Below are 21,351 nucleotides of genomic sequence, written 5' to 3'. Positions count from 1 at the left end.
TTTGCTCAGCGCTCATTTCTCTCTCGTGCCTCCATGTGAAGAAGGATGTGTTTGCTTCCCCTTCTGCCATCCTTGTAAGTTTCCTGAGGCCTCCCCAGCCCTGTGGTACTGAGTCAATTAAACCTCTTTCCTTTATAAATTTCCTAGTCTTGGGCAGTTCTTTATTGCAGCGTGAGAGTGAACTAATACAGATGTGTGTGTGTGTATGTGTAGCAGGGGATCCATACTAACAAAGGCATGATATGTGGGTAGGGACTATAAAAACCCTGCTGAGTGGAGCACAGGTATGTGTAGGGAGTGGTAGAAAAAAGATTGGACAAACAGTCCAACCTTTTCCTTCTAATGCTGGAGGAAAGACATTTGCTACTATTAAGTCTTGCAGAATTTATTACTGCTACCTTTGTTAGAAAATTGTGAGTGGAAGGATTGTTATGAAGGAATACATCAATAAATTAATTTCCAAAGTTTTTCCTGTCACATCTACAATAACATTTGGAAATATTGTTTAGAGAGGCTTGAAATCACCCACAATATGCCTAAAGAAGTGCAAGTACTTTCTTTTTAGGTGATATAGTTACTGCTTTTAGAGGTTATATCATTAAAGCTTAGTAGATGATGGCACCACAGTACTAAATTTATTTAATGTTGTATATACTTTTATTATTATTATAAATAATCAGAAATGGGTGTTAAATTATACTAAGTATTGTTTAGTGGCATGTACTTTTTTCTCCCTTATCTGTTACATATGAACCCATTTCTAAGTTTTTCTGAGCATACACTACATGATCATGTGGATTTTGTACTTTAGTAAGTTGCTGGACTTAATTTGCTAATCCTTTATTTTGGATTTTTACATATATTTCATGGACTAGAAAGTAGTCCAAAAAACTGTTGAACTGAAAGTACATGACTGCTCCTCCTGAAAGCAGTCTAAGAGTAGAATGGTGTTTGCCCGGGGGTGGAGGAGGGGGCAATGAGGAGTTATTGTTTAATGGGTATGGAGTTTCAGTTTGGGAAGATGAAAAAGTTCTGGAGATGAATGGTGGTGGTGGTTGCACACAAAGGTGAATGAACTATATGTACTTAATGCTACTTAATGCCTCTGAACTGTACACTTAAATGGTTAAGATGGTAAATTTTATATTTTACTACAATAAAAATTTTTTTTTGAAAGTCCAAAAAAGCATATTGAAAATATGGCATTGATATAACTTTAACAACCACAGATATCGGGAGGCAATTCAGAAGTGGGATGAAGCACTACAGTTAACTCCAAATGATGCTACCCTATACGAGATGAAATCACAGGTAATAATTATGAAGAATTTCACTTTCCTTATGAAATTGTGCTATGTTTGTTCGGTGAGTGAGCAATGATGAAGCAAAATAGCATTTTCTCCCATTTTCTTTTACAAATACGGTTTCTTTGGGAAAAAATATTTCACCATTATTTATGGTTCTGTCTTATGCATAAAACTGGAAATTCATTTGCCTTTACAATGAAGTTAACTGTTATTTTAGCCTAACTATTGTAAGATAGGAATCGGTGGCTATCTTTTAAAGTCACTGGTGGGCAGGTGCCATGGCTCACGTCTGTAATCCCAGCAATTTGGGAGGCCGAGGTGGGTGGATCACTTGAGGTCAGAAGTTCGAGACCACCCTGACCAACATGGTGAAACCTTGCCTCTACTAAAAATACAAATATTAGCTGGGCGTGGTGGCACATGCCTGTAGTCCCAGCTACTTGAGAGGCTGAGGCAGGAGGACCACTTGAACGTGGGAGGCGGAGGTTGCAGTGAGCTGAGATAGTGCCACTGCACTCCAGCCTGGGTGACACAGCGAGACTCCATCTCAAAAAAATAAATAAGTAAATAAAAAATAAATAAAAAGTCACTGTTGAGCTCTTAGATGAAAAACATACGCTTTCCTTGTGATTAAATATAGTAGACTTAGCAAAATAGTTCAGTTTTCTTAAAAATGAGGATGGATTGGGTTCTAGATGAGATATTTCTAAAAATGGCTTAGTCCTTAGCAAAAGGTCAGCATAGATGCAATTTTATTAATAGCTTAAAAATAACATTTGTACTTTAAAAACATGTTTCTAATATTTTGTAGGAAAGTCTGTAAAGAAAACCTTTGAGCACTTGAATAGGTTATCCAAGTGATTTTAAAAGTCTCACACAGAGCATTAAACATATTTTTGGCAGGGAATTGTTGCAATTCAGCCTTAATCTGCACACCTAACAAATATTTTTCAAATCGTGATCTCAAATATAGGACACACATTTGTCACCTTTGACTTTAGTTTATCCAGGAAAAACCCAAATAAATTATGTCATCTGAATCAAGTGATATGAGGACCTTCATTTGTATTCCTTTTTCAATCTTAAATATGTATATATGAATGACAGGTTTGTGGCAAGCTTTATGAAGACTTGTTTAATTTGGAACCTGATAATAATGTTTGTATCACAAATCTTTTAAAGTGTTAATGGTCCTAAAGATTATAGATAAAATCCAGCCTCTTCCCACAGACCACAGTGGAGGGTACTAGAACTCTCTGGTAACCCTAACTCTCCCTAACCCTAACCCTAACCCTAACCCTACCTTCCTAGTATGTATGGTTTGAAATGCCCAGTAGTGAGAAGGCCTAGGGAATGTTTTAAATACTTTTTATAACATAAAGATGTTCATTAGGGACGGGATGGCTGGTTGAACAAATTAATTCACCTAGTTTAATGGCAATACCTGGGGTTCCCTGAAAACCACATTGTAAATAGAATAAATGGAAGTGGAATTGGGAGTTCAAAATACCTCTGAGCCACCATAGTTAGGATATGACCACTTGGTTTTGACCAGATGGACATAAGATTCAATAACTGGAAAGGGAATCGTTTACATTTTCATAGTTATATAAGGGGTGAAAAGAGAACTATAATTTCTTACCCTGAATGGCAGAGTAAGGGGTAAAAATCACCGAAATGCTATTTTTACTGGACTAAAAATATATCTTAAAAAATGAAAAGGGTTTTTTATGTAGTTGCTAGTTTATGAATATTACTGACAGATTTTTTGGTCTTTTTTTGCCTATAGGTGCTAATGTCTCTTCATGAAATGTTCCCAGCAGTACATGCAGCAGAAATGGCCGTCCAGCAAAATCCACATTCATGGGAGTCTTGGCAGACTTTGGGACGTGCTCAACTTGGTTTAGGAGAGATAATCCTGGTGAGGAAGTCAGATTATTATAATGCAGAAATTTTAAGTATATTTTGACTTTTTTTTTTTTTTGAGATGGAGTCTTGATGTCACCCAGGGTACAGTGCAGTGGTGCAATCTCAGCTCACGGCAACCTCCGCCTCCTGGGTTCAAGCGATTCTCCTGTCTCAGCCTCCTGTGTAGCTGGGACTATAGGCATGCGCCACCATGCCTGGCTAATGTTTTTGTATTTTTAGTAGAGACGGGGTGTCACCATGTTAGTCAGGCTGGTCTTTAACTTTTGACCTCAAATGATTCTCCAGCCTCGGCCTCCCAAAGTGCTGGGATTACAGGCGTGAGCCAACATGCCCAGTCTATTTTGACATATTTTTGATTAACTGAACCCAAAAGTGAATAGCCGTTTATCAAGTCTATACAAAAAACAATTAGCAAATTACTTCTTAAAGGTATTAATCCATAAACACAGTTCACAGGTATTACTGAACATCTTTTTTATTATAGACACTAATTATATCATGATCAGAATATTTTTCAGTTACTTGACATCATGGATATTAAAAAAAATTTAACATAAAACATTGGCATTTGGTAAACCTTATTTAAATAGACAATAGGCAACTTTTTGGCTTAGTTCTTTGGATCATTACATTTACCACATTATAAAGTGGTATTAGTATCACTGTGGAGACAAAACCGCTGATAGATTATACAGGGGAAGGAAGACAGTAGAATATGGGAGGGTAATGGTGATGAACATTTAGACTGAAAAGTTGTTAGGCTTATTGAGGGGATAAAGAGGAAGAGTAGAAATGTGTGCAAATGAAATACTCATTGTGTAATGTTTACCGTAAACTGGTACCTAATGCATCTCTCAATTTGTCTGGACTATACCTTGTTAGTAGCAGAGGCTATCTAGGTAAGAATTAGCTGTGACAGCTGTCCTGTTGTTTTTCTTTTGGCAGGGCTATATACACCTGATAGCTAACGAAATTTAACTTCCTAACAAGTGTTTGCAAATCTAATATACAGTGCCAAATTTCCTCCTTGTTATTAAGTAAATTAAGATTTTAAAAATGGTTTTATTTTTTACAGTTCAAAATAAAACATTTTAAAAGTTTCTTGCAAGACTAAAATTACTGATAAATTCAAAATATAAACTTACTAACAGTGGTTTTAGTAAATTGTGGATGACTGAGCTTTTTTTCTGGCATTCTTATAAATGTATCATTATTTCTACTTACCAAAAAAGGTGTTTGTCAAATTCTCAGAAATAGTAAGGAATTTGTATGAGAAAATAATTGATTTGATTAAAGTAAGTTAATGATAATCTAAATGAGATTCACAGTGATAGAAACCATTTTAACCAAGTACTGTTTTTTTCTTGCCATTTAGCACTGTCAACTTCTCTCTTTTTACATGAAGACTTAAATCATACCAGAGTTGGAAAAAAGAGTTCAAAGAATTTAGTTTTCTAACATTAACAGGGGAAGAAAACCCTATCATATAATACTTTTTCCTTGCCTCCCTTATTAAAAATTTATACATCACTATCTCTTTTGCCAATAGTGTCTATGGTAATGGAACAAATCTCTAGGACATAATATTTAGTAAAGATTGTCCTTTATAAAGAAAGAAAATACACTGCAGGTGAGACGGAGATACTTTGAATCATCCAATAAAAATAATTTAATATTTAAATTTTTTTGAATAAGAGTACCAGTTCGACTTTTTTTTTTTCTGTTGATATGGCTCTATTCATTAATACTGTGAAATTCTTAGAAGAATTGAAAGTATTTTTTTTTTGCCATTTAAATGTAATTTTTAGGAATCTTCTCTGTTTTTATGTAGATTTAAGCTGTTCTCTTAAAAGACTAGAATGGTAAAAAAAAAAGATGACTCAAAATGTCATAACGAAGGGACACTATGTAAAATATATTGAAAGCAAGCTAGAATTTCTAATATCTAACAATTCTTACTATATATACATATGGACTAAAACCATAGGAAATTATGTATGTAAATAGCACAGGCAGTAAATTAAAAGTCAGTAGTTGGGTATATCTCCATGAATAATTATTTAAACTTTGTAAGAGTTGGATGTGAACATTGGAAAATGTTTATAGGAGATATATATATATAAAATATGTATGTATATGGTATACATTTTATATATATATACGTGTGTGTGTGTGTATATATATATATATATAAAAGACTTTATGAGAATGAGATTTTAAGAAGTGGAAGGATGAGAGAATAAGAAAGCTGAAGCCAGGCGCGGTGGCTCAAGTCTGTAATCCCAGCACTTTGGGAGGCCGAGGCGGGCGGATCACAAGGTCAGGAGATTGAGACCATCCTGGCTAACACGGTGAAACCCCGTCTCTACTAAAAATACAAAAAATTAGCTGGACGTGGTGGCGGGCGCCTGTAGTCCCAGCTGCTCGGGAGGCTGAGGCAGGAGAATGGCGTGAACCTGGGAGGCGGAGCTTGCAGTGAGCTGAGATCGCGCCACTGCACTCCAGCCTGGGTGACAGAGCAAGACCTGTCTCAAAAAAAAAAAAAAAAAAAAGCTGAAGAGAATGGTTCTGGGAGTTAAAAATTCTGTATGAGGGAATGGGGATGGTGAGAAAGGAATACATAAGGGATTTATCCTGAAGAAGAAGGTAGAGAGGGAAGGAGACTGGGAAAGGTAATGAATACCAGGAGGTAACAGTATCAGGAAGGATTCTTCTGTTGGCTTTCCAGGGTTCTCAGCCTTCAGTGCTGGAACTAGCTTTGTGGCTTCCCTTCTTCGGGCTCTGTGTAATTCATTGCCAGCTTTTGCTTTTCTTCATGCCAATGTGCAATAAATACTAATTTTGTTTACTAATGTTTTCTCTGTTTTCCAAGTCTCATTTTAGCCATTGGTTTTAATATTTTGCATGAGCAAATCTTTAATTAGAAATTTCAGTTGCATCATTTGATTCTTTTTATTGTTTCGCTTTTGTAATGGTAGTAATGGGATGGACAAGTGATAATTTCCAGACAAAAGGAAGATGATTGAGAGTTTTTAAAATTTCACTTGAGGGGCTGGGCATCCTGGCTCACGCGTATAATCTCAGCACTTTGGGAGGCTGAGGCAGAAGGATTGCTTGAGGCCAGGAGTTTGGACCAACCTGGGTAGCATGGCAAGATCCTATATTTACAAAAAAAAAAAAAAAAAATTTGGCTGGGCATGGTGGCTCATGCCTGTAATCCCAGCATGTTGGGAGGCTGAGGTGGGTTGATCACCTGAGGTCAGGAGTTTTGAGACCAGCCTGGCCAACATGGTGAAACGTCGTCTCTACTAAAAATACAAAAATTAGCCAGGCATGGTGGTGTGTGCCTGTAGTTCCAGCTACTCAGGAGGCAGGAGAATATCTTGAACCTGGCAGGTGGAGGTTGCAGTGAGCTGAGATCGCACCACTGCACTCCAGCATGAGTGACAGAGTGAGACTCCATCTCAAAAAAAAAAAAAAAAATCCACTTGTAAATTTTTAGTTTAGTTAATTACTGTAGACATTGTTTGAGTCAAGCTGCATTATCTTTTTTATAATTGAATAGTACAAATTCTTGAATTATAGTCTTTATAAATGTTGTATGTTGACACTTAAGAATTGAGTTTTTTTCTTGAAAAATAAAGTTTGTTTATGAGCTTTATTATTGTTCTGTTTTTTTTTGTTTGTTTGTTTTTTGTTTTTTTGAGATGGAGTCTCGCTCTGTTCCCCAGGCTGGAGTGCACTGGTGTGATCTCGGCTCACTTCAACCTCCACCTCCCGGGTTCAAGCCATTCTCGTTCCTCAGCCTCCCAAGTAGCTGGGACTATAGGCGTGTGCCACCATGTCTGGCTAATTTTTGTAATTTTAGTAGAGACAGGGTTTCACCGTGTTGGCCAGGCTGGTCTTGAACTCCTGACCTCATGATCCTCCTGCCTCAGCCTCCCAATGTTCCGGGATTACAGGCGTGAGCCACTGTGCCTTGCCTCACAATTTTACTTTTTGAGTCTATGAATTTGCCTGTTTTAGAGATATCGTATAAGTGGAATTATGCAGAATTTGCTTTCTGTGACTGGCTTCTTTCACTTAGCATAATGTCCTCAAAGTCCCATCCATGTTGTGTATTGTAGAATTTGCTTCTTTTTTGAAGCTGAAAAATATTTCATTTTGTGTGTATACCATTTGCTTTGTTCATTCTTCCTTTGATGGACATTTAGGTTGTTTCTACATATTGGCTATCGTGAATAGTGCTGCCATGAACCTGGGAGTGCTAATATCTCTTTGAGATCTTGATTCTTTTGGATAAATATCCAGAAATGAGATAGCTTTATTACATGGTAGTTCTAATTTTAATTTTTTGAAGAAACTCCATAATGGCTACACCATTTTGCATTTTTACTAACAATATACAAGGGTTCCAGTTTCTCCATAACCTCACTGACACATCTTGCCTTTTTGTTTGTTTGTTTTTTTTTGAGAGGGAATCTTGCTCTGTCGCCCAGGCTGGAGTGCAGTGGTGTGATCTCGGCTCACTGTAACCTCTGCCTCCCGGGTTCGAGTGATTCTCCTGCCTCAGCCTCCCAAGTAGCTGGGATTACAGGTGCCCATCACCACGCCTGGCTAATTTTTGTATTTTTAGTAGAGACAGGGTTTTGCCATGTTGGCCAGGCTGGTCTTGAACTCCTGGTCTCAGGTGATCCGCCCACCATGGCCTCCCACAGTGCTGGGATTATAGGTGTGAGTCACCGCATCTGGCCACCTTTTTTGTGTGTGTGATAATACCCATTTTAACAGATGTGAGGTGATATTTCTTTTTTTTTTTTTTTTAATTTGAGTTAGCTTTTATTTAATTGTTAAACCTATGCTTTGAGGTTTTTAATTGAAATTTTTTTAAATTTTTTTAGTATTTATTGATCATTCTTGGGTGTTTCTCGGAGAAGGGGATTTGGCAGGGTCATAGGACAATAGTGGAGGGAAGGTCAGCAGATAAACATGTGAACAAAGTTCTCTGGTTTTCCTAGGCAGAGGACCCTGCGGCCTTCCACAGTGTTTGTGTCCCTGGGTACTTGAGATTAGGGAGTGGTGATGACTCTTAAGGAGCATGCTGCCTTCAAGCATCTGTTTAACAAAGCACATCTTGCACCGCCCTTAATCCATTTAACCCTGAGTGGACACAGCACATGTTTCAGAGAGCACGGGGTTGGGGGTAAGGTTATAGATTAACAGCATCCCAAGGCAGAAGAATTTTTCTTAGTACAGAACAAAATGGAGTCTCCCATGTCTACTTCTTTCTACCCAGACACAGTAACAATCCGATCTCTCCTTTTCCCCACATTTCCCCCTTTTCTATTTGACAAAACCGCCATCGTCATCATGGCCCGCTCTCAATGAGCTGTTGGGTACACCTCCCAGATGGGGTGGCGGCTGGGCAGAGGGGCTCCTCACTTCCCAGATGGGGCAGCCGGGCGGAGGCGCCCCCCACCTCCCGGACGGGGCAGCTGGCCGGGTGGGGGCTGCGCCCCCCACCTCCCGGATGGGCGGCTGGCTGGGCGGGGGCTGCCCCGCCACCTCCGGGACGGGGCGTCTGGCCGGGCAGGGGCTGCCCCGCCACCTCCCGGACGGGGCGCTGGCCGGGCGGAGACGCTCCTCACTTCCCAGACTGGGCGGCTGTGGGGCGGAGACACGCCTCACTTCCCAGACGGGGCAGCTGCTGGGCGGAGGGGCTCCTCACTTCTCAGACGGGGCGGCCGGTCAGAGACGCTCCTCAGTTCCCAGACGGGGTCGCGGCCAGGCAGAGGCGCTCCTCACATTCCAGACGGGGAGGTGGGGCAGAGGCGCTCCCCACATCCCAGACGATGGGCCGCCAGGCAGAGAGGCTCCTCACTTCCTAGACTGGATGACGGCCGGGAAGAGGCGCTCCTCACTTCCCAGACTGGGCGGCCGGGCAGAGGGGCTCCTCACATCCCAGACGATGGGCGGCCAGGCAGAGACGCTCCTCACTTCCTAGACGGGGTGGCGGCCGGGCAGAGGATGCAATCTCGGCACTTTGGGAGGCCAAGGCAGGCGGCTGGGAGGTGGAGGTTGCAGCGAGCCGAGATCACGCCTGGGCAACATTGAGCACTGAGTGAGCGAGTTGAGACAGAGTCTCCCTCTGTCACCCAGGCTGGAGTGACATGGTGCGATCTCGGCTCACTGCAACCTCCGCCTCCCGGGTTTAAGCGGTTCTCCTGCCTCACCTCCCGAGTAGCTGGGACTCATGAGGTGATATTTCATGGTGGTTTTGATTTGCATTTCCCTGATTAGTGATATTGAGCATCTTTTCATATACCTGTTAGCCATTTAGAGAAATGTCTATTCAAGTGTTTAGCCCATTTTAAGATCAGGTTACTAGGTTTTTTGGCTATTGAGTTATTTCTTATATATTTGAAAGTTAAAACCTTAGATATGATTTGCAAATATTTTCTCCCATTCCATAGGTTTCCTTTTACTCTGGTGGTTGTTTCCTTTGTTGTGCAGAAGCCTTTTAATTTGATGTAATCTCACTTGCCTATTTTTGATTTTGTTGCCTATGTTTTTGGTGTTATATTCAGGAAATCATTTTTAAGACCAATGTCATGAAGGTTTTCCCTGTTTTTTTGTTTTGTTTTGTTTTGTTTTTGTTTTTTTTGTAGGAGTCATAAGACTCCTACAATGTAAGCTTCAGGTCTTACATTTAAGTCTTTAATGCACTTGGAGTTGACTTTTGTTTATGGTGTAAGATGAGGATCCATTTTCATTCTTTTGCACGCGGATATCCGGTTTTCCCAGCATCATTTGTTGAAGAAACTAGACTTTTCTCATTATGTATACTTAATGCCCTTGTTGAAGATCAGCTGACCATGTTGGGTGTGGATTTATTTGTAGGCTGTCTATTCTGTTCCATTGGTCTATATATCTGACTTTATGCCAGAATCGTATTGTTTTGTTTGCTGTCACTTTGTAATATATTTTGAAATTCATGAGTATGATGCCCCTAGTTTTGTTCTTACTTCTAAAATTGATTTTGTCCATTTACTTTGTGCCCAGCTCAGGGAAGGGGTGATAGCAACTTCCAGCCCAAATATCCCTCTCTGTTCTTCCTAGCCCCCAGGCAGCTGGATTTTGCCAAATTCCATCAGTACTCCACTACAGGTAAGACAGAAGCCAGTCCTTTTGGTAGTCCCCATAAAAACTGGGGCATTGGACACAGTGTGGACCAATTCTTTTCTTCCCTAGGCAAAATCTGGGAGCTGGGAATTTTCTTCGCTCACTGTATGCCAAGCTGGGGGAACAGATAGGGTGACTACTCTTCCAAACCTCCGTTATCTCTGGTCTCCTGTAGGTGGTTAGATTATGTAGGACTTGTTTTAACAGTGGTCCAAAAAACAGGCAAGACAGAAACCAGTACTTTTTGTAGCCACCGTAGAAGTTGGGGCATTGGACACTCAGACCAATTCATTCTTTCCCTTGAGGGTAGCTTGGAGCTGCAGGGTTCTTCCCAATCCTGTGGAGCTGTGCTGGGAGTAGGATTCTGGTGAGAGGGTGTCCTGAATCTCCCTTCTGGCTTTGATGAGTGTGTATTCTTATTCATCCAGGGTGCAGGAGCCTTTCAGTTAGTTTCTGGATTTCTCACAAAGGAATTTTGTTTGTGAATTGTTGCTGAATTGGTGTATTTGTTGGATGAAGGAGGGTCCAGGGCTTCCCACTCTGCCATCTTGCTGATGCTACTCCTCTGCCATTTTGTTTTGTGAAGTTCTTTGAAGAGGAGTGCCCTTGGGAGATTTTAAACTATCTTAAATTTGAAAATGTAATTGCAGCTCTTTGGATTTACTTTAAATACATATGTATATTTAAGTTTAGTAAATATGAAAGCATTAGTAATCAAGACAGTATAGTACTTAGATAGGCATAATGTAGACATATAGATCAGTGGGATAGAACTGAAAGTACAGAAATAAACCTACATTTTTACAGTTAATTGGACAAGGGTGTCAAGACAATTTAATGGGGGAAGGAATAGTCTTCAGCAAATGGTGCTGAGGCAGTTGGATATCCACATGCAAATGAATGACTTTGGACTCTTACTTCACATTTTATGTAAAAATTAACTCAAAAACAAACAAAGACCTAAACATAAGAACTAAAAGTATTATAAAACTCTTAGGAGAGAACATAGGTGTAAATCTTTGTAACCTTGGACTCAGCAATATATTAATATTTTTTAGATATGACATTGGAAGCACAAACAACAAAAGAAAAAAGTAGATAAAAATTGGACTTCAAATTAAACACTTTTGTGCTTCAAAAGTTACTGTCAAGAAAGTGAAAAGGCAATTCACAGAATGGAAGAAAATATTTGTAAATCATATATCTGATAAAGGTCTAGTATGTAGACTCTGTAAAAAACTCTTACAACTCAATAACAAAAAGACAAATAATGTAATTTAAAAATAGACAAAGGATTTGAAAAGGTATTTTTCCAAAGAAGATACACACACAGCTAATGAGCACATGAAAGATGCTCAACATTGTTACTTGTCAAGGAAATGAAAATCAAAACCACATTGAGATACTACTTCACATTCACTATCATAAAAAAGATGGACAATATGAAGTGTTGGTGAGGGTGTGGAGAAATTGGAGTCCTCGTCCATTGCTGGTGGGAATGTAAAATGTTATAGCCATTTTGGAAAACAGTCTGGCAGCTCCTCAAAAAAATGAAACATATAGTTATCATATGACAAAACAGTTCCACTCTTTATACCCAAGAGAAATGAAGACATATGTCCACACAAAAACATTTACATAAACCTTCATAGCAGCAGCATTTAAAATGGCCAAGAAGTGGAAACAACTCAAATGCCATCAACTGACAAATAGATAAACAAAATGTGGTATATCCATACAATGAAATATTATTCAGCATTAAAAAGAAATGATGCCTGTTACAACACGGATGAACTTTAAAAACAATATGTTAAGTGAAAGAAACCAGACATAAAAGGCTGTATGATTTCATTTATATGAAATATACAGAATAGACAGATATATAGCAATAGCAAGTAAATTAATGCTTGCCTAGAGCTGGGGTTTTGGGGAGAAATGAGGAGTAACTGCCAGTAGGTATGGAATTTTCTTTGGGGGTGATAAAAATGTTCTAGAATTGATTATGGGTGATGGCTGTGTGACTGTGAATATTGAATTGTATGTTTTAAATGGGTGAGCTTTATTGCTGTTTTAAAATTTTAGTAAATATGAATAAAATACCTTTTAATGTTTCCTAAGGCATTAGCTTTATGCCATGAAGAGGTATTTATTTTTTAACACTTCTATATAGGTGGATTTTTATTAGAATATTAAGAACACATAAAGCACAATTCCCATGGTACCTTAATTTTTAATTTTTATTTATTTATTTATTTTGAGACAGTCTCGCTCTGTTGCTCAGGCTGGAGTGCAGTGGTACCATCTTGGCTCACTGCAACCTCTGCTTCTTGGGTTCAAGTGATTCTCCTGCCTCAGCCTCCAAATTAGCTGGGATTACAGGCATACACCACTACACCCAGCTAATTTTTTTTTTTTTCGAGACGGAATCTTGCTCTGTCGCCCAGGCTGAAGTGCGGTGGTGCAATCTCGGCTCACTGCAACCTCTGCCTCCTGGGTTCAAGCGATTCTCATGCCTCAGCCCCCTGAGTAGCCACCACGTGGAGGGTGCCACCATGCCCAGCTAATTTTTGTATTTTTAGTAGAGACAGGGTTTCACCATTTTGGCCAGGCTGGTCTTGAACTCCTGACCTTGTGATCTGCCCACCTCCGCCTGCCAGAGTGATGGGATTACAGGCGTGAGCCACCACGCCTGGCCAAATACTGCTTTATATACCTATCTCTGTGTATTTTTTATTTATTTATTTTTTTTGAGACAGAGTCTTGCTCTCTCATCCAGGCTGGAGTGCAGTGGCACCATCTTGGCTCACTGTAACCTCTGCCTCCGGGGTTCAAACAATTTTCCTGCCTCAGCCTCCTAAGTAGCTGGGATTACAGGCACCACCACTATGTCCAACTAATTTTTTTTGTATCTTTAGTAGAGACGGGGTTTTGTCATTGAACTCCTGGTCTTGAGTGATCCATGCTTTCGCCTCGGCCTCCCAAAGAGTTGGATTTACAGGCGTGAGCCATCATGTATCTGTCTTCTTTATGACTTCTCTAAAGGGCCTATTAGATTGTAAATCTGTAGATTATGTGCAATCTTTTTTTTTTTTGAGACGGAGTTTCGCTCTTGTTGCCCAGGCTGGAGCATAATTGTGCGATCTTGGCTCACTGCAACCTCCGCCTCCCGAGTTCAAGCGATTCTCCTGCCTCAGCCTCACGAGTAGCTGGGATTACAGGCGTGCACCACCACACCTGGCTAATTTTTTGTATTTTTAGTAGAGACGGGTTTTCACCATGGCCAGGCTGGTCTTGAACTTCTGACCTCAGGTGATCCGCCTGCCTTGACCTCCCAGAGTGCTGGGATTACAGGCGTGAGCCATGGTGCCTGGCCGATTAAGTGCAATCTTAAAACTAATCTGTTTGCATGAGAATCTTCTATCCAGAGACTAAGTATACTCAGAGAAAACAACATATAATAGATTTAGACCAATGATTCTCACTTGGAGGGCAGTTTTACCCCCAGAGAACATTTGCCATGTCTAGAGACATTTTTGTTTATCACAACTAGGAAAGGAAGCTGTATTGGATTTAGTGAGTGTAGGTCAGGGATGTTGCTGAATATTCTACATTATAGAGGACAGCCCTTCCAAAATAAAGAATTACTCAGCCAAATATGTCAGTAGTGCTGAGGTTGACCTTTATCCAGACTGTAGTGGAGTTCTTGTGACTAAGCAGTATAATATAATGAATAAGAGAATGGACTCTGAAGCCAGACTGCCTGAATTTGCATCCCAGCTCTGCCAATTCCCAGCTGATACCTTTGGTTTCTACTCTTTCTGTGCTTCTCTAAAATAGTACTGAAAACAATAACCATACCTACTTCATATGATTATTGTGAGGATAGATGAGTTAATACATGTAAATCTTTTTTTTTTTTTTTTTTGAGATGGAGTTTTGCTCTTTTTGCCCAGGCTGGAGTGCAATGGCGTGATCTCAACTCACTGCAACCTCTGTCTCCCGGGTTCAAGCGATTCTCCTGCCTCACCCTCCTGGGTAGCTGGGATTACAGGCACCCGCCATCATGCCTGGCTAATTTTTGTATTTTTAGTAGAGACAGGGTTTCACTGTGTTGGCCAGGCTGGTCTTGAACTCCTGACCTCAGGTGATCCGCCCACCTCAGCCTCCCAAAGTGCTGGGATTACAGGTATGAGCCACCGTGCCCAGCCAAATACATGTAAATCTTTAGTGCCTAGAATGTAGTAAACAGTCAATAAATGTTAACATTGTTAGGATCTAAACTGTTAACTTCAAAGATATCCACTCCTGGTACCTTTGTGATTGTGGGTTAGCCCAGGAAATCCCCAAATGTACATACTTACTGGTCTACTGAAGCTGAGAATATATTTGCTTTATCTTTAGCCCTATTATGAGTACTCCCATTTTAATGGCTTTTAGTCCATAAGCATATTGTCAGTCACTTTCTTTCACACTTCTATAATTTTTTTCCCCAGTGTTTAGGGCAACACCGTAGCTTCCATCTTTTGTGTTCTAGTACATTAAGATAATGCATTAGGATGTGTATGTGTACAGTATATATGTACGTAAACACACAGGATTGTATTAAACATACTAATTTTTAAAACCAAAACAAAAAACTCTGACCTTATTTTCTAGGCAATTCGAAGTTTTCAAGTAGCCCTTCACATCTATCCAATGAACCCTGAAATATGGAAAGAAGACCTCTCTTGGGCAAGAACGCTCCAGGAGCAGCAGAAGGTAGCACAGAGGATTAAAAAAAGTGAAGCACCAGCTGAAGTAACACACTTTTCACCAAAGTCAATTCCAGACTATGACTTTGAAAGTGATGAGATTGTTGCTGTTTGTGCAGCTATTGCTGAGAAAGAGAAGACAGTTTCAGCAAATAAAACAATGGTTATTGTGTCTGCTTCTGGGGCCATAGAGACTGTAACTGAAAAGGAGGATGGTGCTACACCACCAGATGGCTCTGTTTTTATCAAAGCCCGATGAAGCAGTATGCATAGGATTATTTGAATCTGTCTTTTTGATTGCCTCTTGAAGTTTTGACATAGAGACATTTACTCTGGAGATAGATAGGAGAACGCCTGGTTGTAAAATATGTTTTTCAGATGAGGCATATAAAAACTAAAATGGCAGGATTATTGTATAGTGTTTGGAATATGCTTTGATAAGTTATGATTTATATTTCTCAAGGTTAAAATTCTGAGTAAAATGGTCTTTGATTAATAAACTTAGTTTAATCTGAATATGTAAATGAATACATTTTAAAGACAAAACTTGAAAAATGTATTCTTGAATAGTGAATAATTTGATCAATGTTACTGAAATGCTGTCTCAACTTTTGTTTTATGATAAAGGAAGTGTGTGATTTCCCTCCCTCTGAGAAATATACTGCGCTTAATATTTGCTGTCTTTTTCTTGCTTCATTAGAGTAAGTCTGTCAGAAAGCTTGAATATTTTTGACATTCATTTTGATTCAAAGTTGTCATTTGGTTATATGTGGAATCTTTGAAAGTTTGGCTGAAAATGCACACAAATGTGTACATTCTGAACATTTTCTGAAGTTTCTCTTAATTCTGATTTGTGTTTCTGTTTTGACTTTGAAGTTGTAACAATGATAGTTGTCTCCTTCAGTATTTGGTAAAAGTGTAAAGTATTGATAAATATGAGAATGATGGTTTTATTTTTTAATTGTTACAGTAAGTAATCCTTACCACAAATGAGTCATTTTTAAAATATGCATTTTTAAATGAATGGCTTTTACAGATAGGTTAATGACAATTGTACTGCTATATTATCCCAGTCAAAACCAATACTTTCTTTTCTTTATTTTACAAAGCTTTAAAAACCCTGGAAACAACTTACTTCTTGCTTGTGTCTTTCCATTTGATGACTGGGAATTACTTTTCTAGATAACTTTTTTTGAAACTACTCAGTGAAATGAAAAATAATTACAATTTTAAATAGCTAATTATATCTTTCTAAAAATAAAAAAGTAGGGCTGTTATTAGAGTGCCAATGAATAAATAACTTAAGCACAAAATACATAGAAATTGGAATGTGATTTATAGTACAATCTCATGAGTATGAAAAGGCTATATTAAAAAAAATTTTATTGAAAGTCCACAGTCATATTCACAAACCAATACTGTCATTGCTAATCTGAACTATTATTTTTATACTATATATTGTAGTACAATAATATAGAACTGTTGGGTTCTGTTACTTCTGACACTCAGGAAGATACTATTGGTGTATTAATTTTATCTTTGTTAGAGATGAAAGTAGCCCACTTTATGTTAAAGATCTTACTACTGTTGGAGCTTATAAGTAATGATCTACATTTTTTATGAAGATGGTTTTTAAAACTTTTGTTTTATTGGAATGCATATCTCTTTTCAGGGTTGGAGAAATTAGCACTTGCCTTGAAAAGAATATTCTTTCCTTAAGTTATATCATCAGAAAATTAGCTCTGGTTAGAGAGGTTAGTTTCAGAGTGCTCCAAAAAATATGTTAATTATTTTATTTTGTTTAATAAAGAACATTCTCAAAACGTAAATAGGTATCTAGAGAAGTGAGTACTCAACATTTGGTATATTGTTTTGAGTAATGGATGTTTGTTTTTTGTGTAATTTGTGAATAAATAGTTTTTTTCTGCATTTTGAAGATTTTCCTATTATTTTATGTTGTTAGCTTTTGAAAAATTAGATTGATCTACTTAGTGTCTTTCTTATATGAACTTAATATATTTAAAGTACCTTGCATGGTGCCTCACACATGAAGTAATGCCAGCTATTTCAGTAAATGCTAGCTATTTCTATGAAGAACTTGAGTTAGTTTGGAGATATTTAACCTCAATTTCCTCTGATTTTAAAAAAGGAGAACTTTTTTTGTAATCCTTTCCTTATCTGAAAGTAAGAAGTCTCTGATTCCAGTATTATAGGAGAGATAGTGGGATTTTTCTTGACAGGGTCTATAGCTCAAGTCCCAAAGAGGCAAGACTCAGGATGGAATGCATGTGGCCACTAGGCCCTGTTATAAGAACCTAGTGTTTCCTCTGTACTGGCATGGTAGGCCAAGTTAGTCTCTTTCTTACCCAGATATAAGACATAAAATAGTTTAGACATAAGACAGAGGAGAAAAAGAAACAGTAAGTTATGGAGAAGGAAGGCAGCTCATTTCTGCAGGCCCCTCAAAATGCTTATTTTAGCTCATACTCTTCTATGCGTGAAGAGAAAAATGCACCCATTATTTTACAAGGATGTGAATACTGATATACAAACATAGACTAAGCTTGTTAATTTTAATAACAAATCTTTATGAATCTGAAGAGAATTGATGTTCATGATAATGATATAGATGTTTAATATACTTTCTGAAATAACACTGTTTACTGTTCAAGTTATATTGACTATAATTTACATTATTCTTGTTTGAGAATTGTATGGCATAGACACTCATTAGTCAGAGTGTCTAGACATCCAGACCATGCCTGATAACACAAGAATCATATATCATTCTCTAGAAAACAGGCTGTTTGGTTATAGAGTATTTATCTTAAATATATTAACAGACACTACATAAACATTGAAAAGCCATGCAAGTTATAGCTCACAGGAGCCAGATCTACTGCAACTGGGGCCTACATACAAAATTTTATGGCAGTGGTTTCAGTATGACAATCTTTTGAATTGATGCCGTATGGTAAAACTATAAAGATTTTTTAAAAGCTCTGTCTCAGCTAGAATTTTTAAGATTATAACTGAACAGTATAGCCCTTTTAGTTGTTTGAAAATTACATAATGATTCAAAAGCTTGTTTCACTGCCTTTCCCAGCACTAAGAAAATTAACAATCATTTCTTTTAATTTCCTTGAATCAGAGCCATTCTAAAGTGACTCTGGACCAGCAATTCTGAGCTATGATTTCATGATACATGTATTAATATCTAAATGAGTTGTGAGTTGACATAAGAACCATAGTTCCATAATAATTATCTTCAAATCAATGGATATCTTAAATGTGTTTTTTTCTTCCTTAGAGATTATTATTAAACTGATGTATTTGATAATAAAGAATTTTAGGACTGAGAAAGTTAAGTTTTTCTTACCAATAATAAGATATTGAAATATATAAATTATAAAACAGAAATAAAATGAAATAAAGGAGGTTATCCCTAAAGTCATTTACCTTAGTCACTTGCAATTAAATATGGTTACTTCGGAAGAAGAAGTGTGGCCCTAAAGCTACTGTAACATGAATCATGCCCTAATGTGCACTATATATGAACTACTTTGGTCAGAAGGCAGCGGCGGGTAAGGATGGCTTCCTCTCACAGTGCTTCTTAGGCTATCCATTTACCAAGGAATTCTAATCTCTTTCTCTCACTTCACCAGGAAAGGAGGGAGTTTAAGATATAGAACTGGGCATGCTAGCCTCTTTTTTCCCTTTTGTGGATTTGTCATAACTGCAGAGAACCGATGTTGTGGTCTCTTGCCAGCTACATTGTGAACCTTGCAGTGAAAGTTCTTTGCCTCTGCAAAGGGAGATTTGTGCTTGTGCAGAACTGCCCATGCCTTAGTAAGCAGGTCTGTCTAATTCTAAGTTCAATATCTGGTGGCTATTGTTGGCATAAACTTAAAGTACATCCTCTAACCTAGCCTTTTTCAGCAGTAAACTTAAAATATTGAATCTCCATCTGTCTGTGTCTCAAGTGGTTCAGAGGTCAGGAGAGGAGAGGGACATTATTTTATGACTCCCTCAAACTTTAACAAAGACTAGTGCAGATTATATTTCGAAGTAAGCATGAGATATATTAAAAACCACATGTGGGAATTCTTTCCTAATTTTAGAGGTTTTTTTTAAATAATGGAAATTCTATTGAAATTGAGTAGTGTTAATTACAAGGCAACAGGTAAACATTTGTTCAGGATATTTAAAAGGTCTGCTGAGTTGGAATTGTGACAGACCACATTGTTGACTCTAGATTGAATTGGAAGGGAAGAATGTGAAATGAATTAGGATATCCTCTGTTCACCTCTATTAACTTTCTTAAATGAGTATAACTTAGAAATAATAAAATGCAAGTATTTTAACGTTATAGTTGGGAGAGTTTTGACAAATGTAAACACCCACTTCACCACCACTACCATCCTGATATAGTGTGTGTCCATCACCCAAAAAGTTCTCTAAAGCCCTTTTGCAGTTGGTTCCCCTCCACCTGAACAGCCATCCCTAGTCAACTACTTTTCTGCTTTCTGTGGCTATACGTTAGATTTGACTTCAGAATTCTAGAGTTTGAAATAAATAGGCCATATAATATGCACTCTTTTTGTGTCTGACTTTTTTTTTGCTTAACATGATGCTTTTGAAACCCATCCATGTTGAGATTCATCCATGTTATCATGTGTATCAATAATAAGTTCCTTTTTATTGCTGAATAGTATTCTAGTATATAGATATACCACAATTTGTTTAGCTGTTCACCTATTGATGGACATTTAGGTTGTTTCAAGTTTTGATCTATTATGAATAAAGCTGCTATATATATAAATCACAATTCTATGTGTGGACATATGTGTTCATTTCTCTTATGTAAATACCTAGGGATGGAATTGCTGAGTCTTATGACCAGTTTATGCACAACTTTAAAGGAAACTGCCAAACTTTTCCAAATTATCTGTACCATTTGGGATTTCTGCTAGCAATGTATTAAATTAATTTCAGTTTCTCCATATCCTTGTCAATGATTGATATTGTCAGTCTTTTAAATTTTAGACACTTTAGTGGATATGTAGTAGTATTTCATTGTGGTTTTAATATGCATTTCCCTAATAATGTTGAGCATCTTTTCATAGGCTTATCTGACATTTCTCTTTTTTGGAAAGTAACTTTTCAAATATTTTGCCCATTTTTGATTTAAGTCATCTTCTTATTGAGTTGTAAGAGTTTTCCTTTCTACTGGATAGAAGTCCTTCATGAGCTGTAAGTATTGTGTATATTATCTTCCTATCTGCAGCTTGCTTGTTTGTTTTCTATATATATATATACATATTTTTATTATACATTAAGTTCTAGGGTACATGTGCACAATGTGCAGGTTTGTTACATATGTATACATGTACCATGTTGCTGTGCTGCACCCATTAACTCATCATTTACATTAGGTATATCTCCTAATGCTATCTCTCCCCTTTCCCCCCACCACACAACAGGCCCCAGTGTGTGATGTTCCCTGCCCTGTGTCCAAGTGTTCTCATTGCTCAATTCCCACCTATGAGTGAGAACATGTGATGTTTGGTTTTTTGGCATTGTGATAGTTTGCTGAGAATGATGGTTTCCAGCTTCATCCATGTCCCTACAAAGGACATGAACTCATCCTTTTTTATGGCTGCATAGTATTCCATGGTGTATATGTGCCACATTTTCTTAATCCAGTCTATCATTGTTGGATATTTGGGTTGGTTGCAAGTCTTTTCTATTGTGAATAGTGCCACAATAAACATATATGTGCATGTGTCTTTATAGCAGCATGATTTATATTCCTTTGGTTATATACCCAGTAATGGGATGGCTGGGTCAAATGGTATTTCTAGTTCTAGATCCCCGAGGAATTGCCACACTGTCTTCCACAATGGTTGAACTAGTTAACAGTCCCACCAACAGTGTAAAAGTGTTCCTATTTCTCCACATCCTCTCCAGCACCTGTTGTTTCCTGACTTTTTAATGATTGCCATTCTAACTGGTGTTAGATGGTATCTCACTGTGGTTTTGATTTGCATTTCTCTGATGGCCAGTGATGATGAGCATTTTTTCATGTGTCCTTTGGCTGCATAAATGTCTTCTTTTGAGAAATGTCTGTTCATATCCTTTGCCCACTTTTTGATGGGGTTGTTTGTTTTTTTCTTGTAAAT

At 38.0% G+C, this 21,351-nt stretch overlaps 2 protein-coding genes across 3 annotated transcripts in view; one reads left to right on the top strand and one right to left on the bottom strand.

Moving 5' to 3' along the window:
• The window catches only part of TTC33 (tetratricopeptide repeat domain 33), a 44,386-nt gene extending 24,389 nt beyond the window's left edge, over positions 1-19,997 (top strand). For both annotated transcript variants that reach the window (NM_012382.3, XM_011514003.4), the window contains exons 3-5: positions 1,230-1,311; positions 3,097-3,228; positions 15,075-19,997. In NM_012382.3, the coding sequence (NP_036514.1) occupies positions 1,230-1,311; positions 3,097-3,228; positions 15,075-15,428 (568 nt within the window). In that variant the 3' untranslated portion in view covers positions 15,429-19,997. The remainder of the gene's footprint in view (positions 1-1,229; positions 1,312-3,096; positions 3,229-15,074) is intronic.
• The window catches only part of PTGER4 (prostaglandin E receptor 4), a 66,886-nt gene that overhangs the window by 15,228 nt on the left and 30,307 nt on the right, over positions 1-21,351 (bottom strand). The gene's annotated exons all lie outside the window — the stretch shown is intronic.

This window comes from Homo sapiens, chromosome 5, assembly GCF_000001405.40.
Source record: "Homo sapiens chromosome 5, GRCh38.p14 Primary Assembly".
Lineage (NCBI taxonomy): Eukaryota > Metazoa > Chordata > Mammalia > Primates > Hominidae > Homo > Homo sapiens.
The sequence above is the reverse complement of the archived record's forward strand: the minus strand, read 5'-3'. Positions and strand labels throughout refer to the sequence as shown.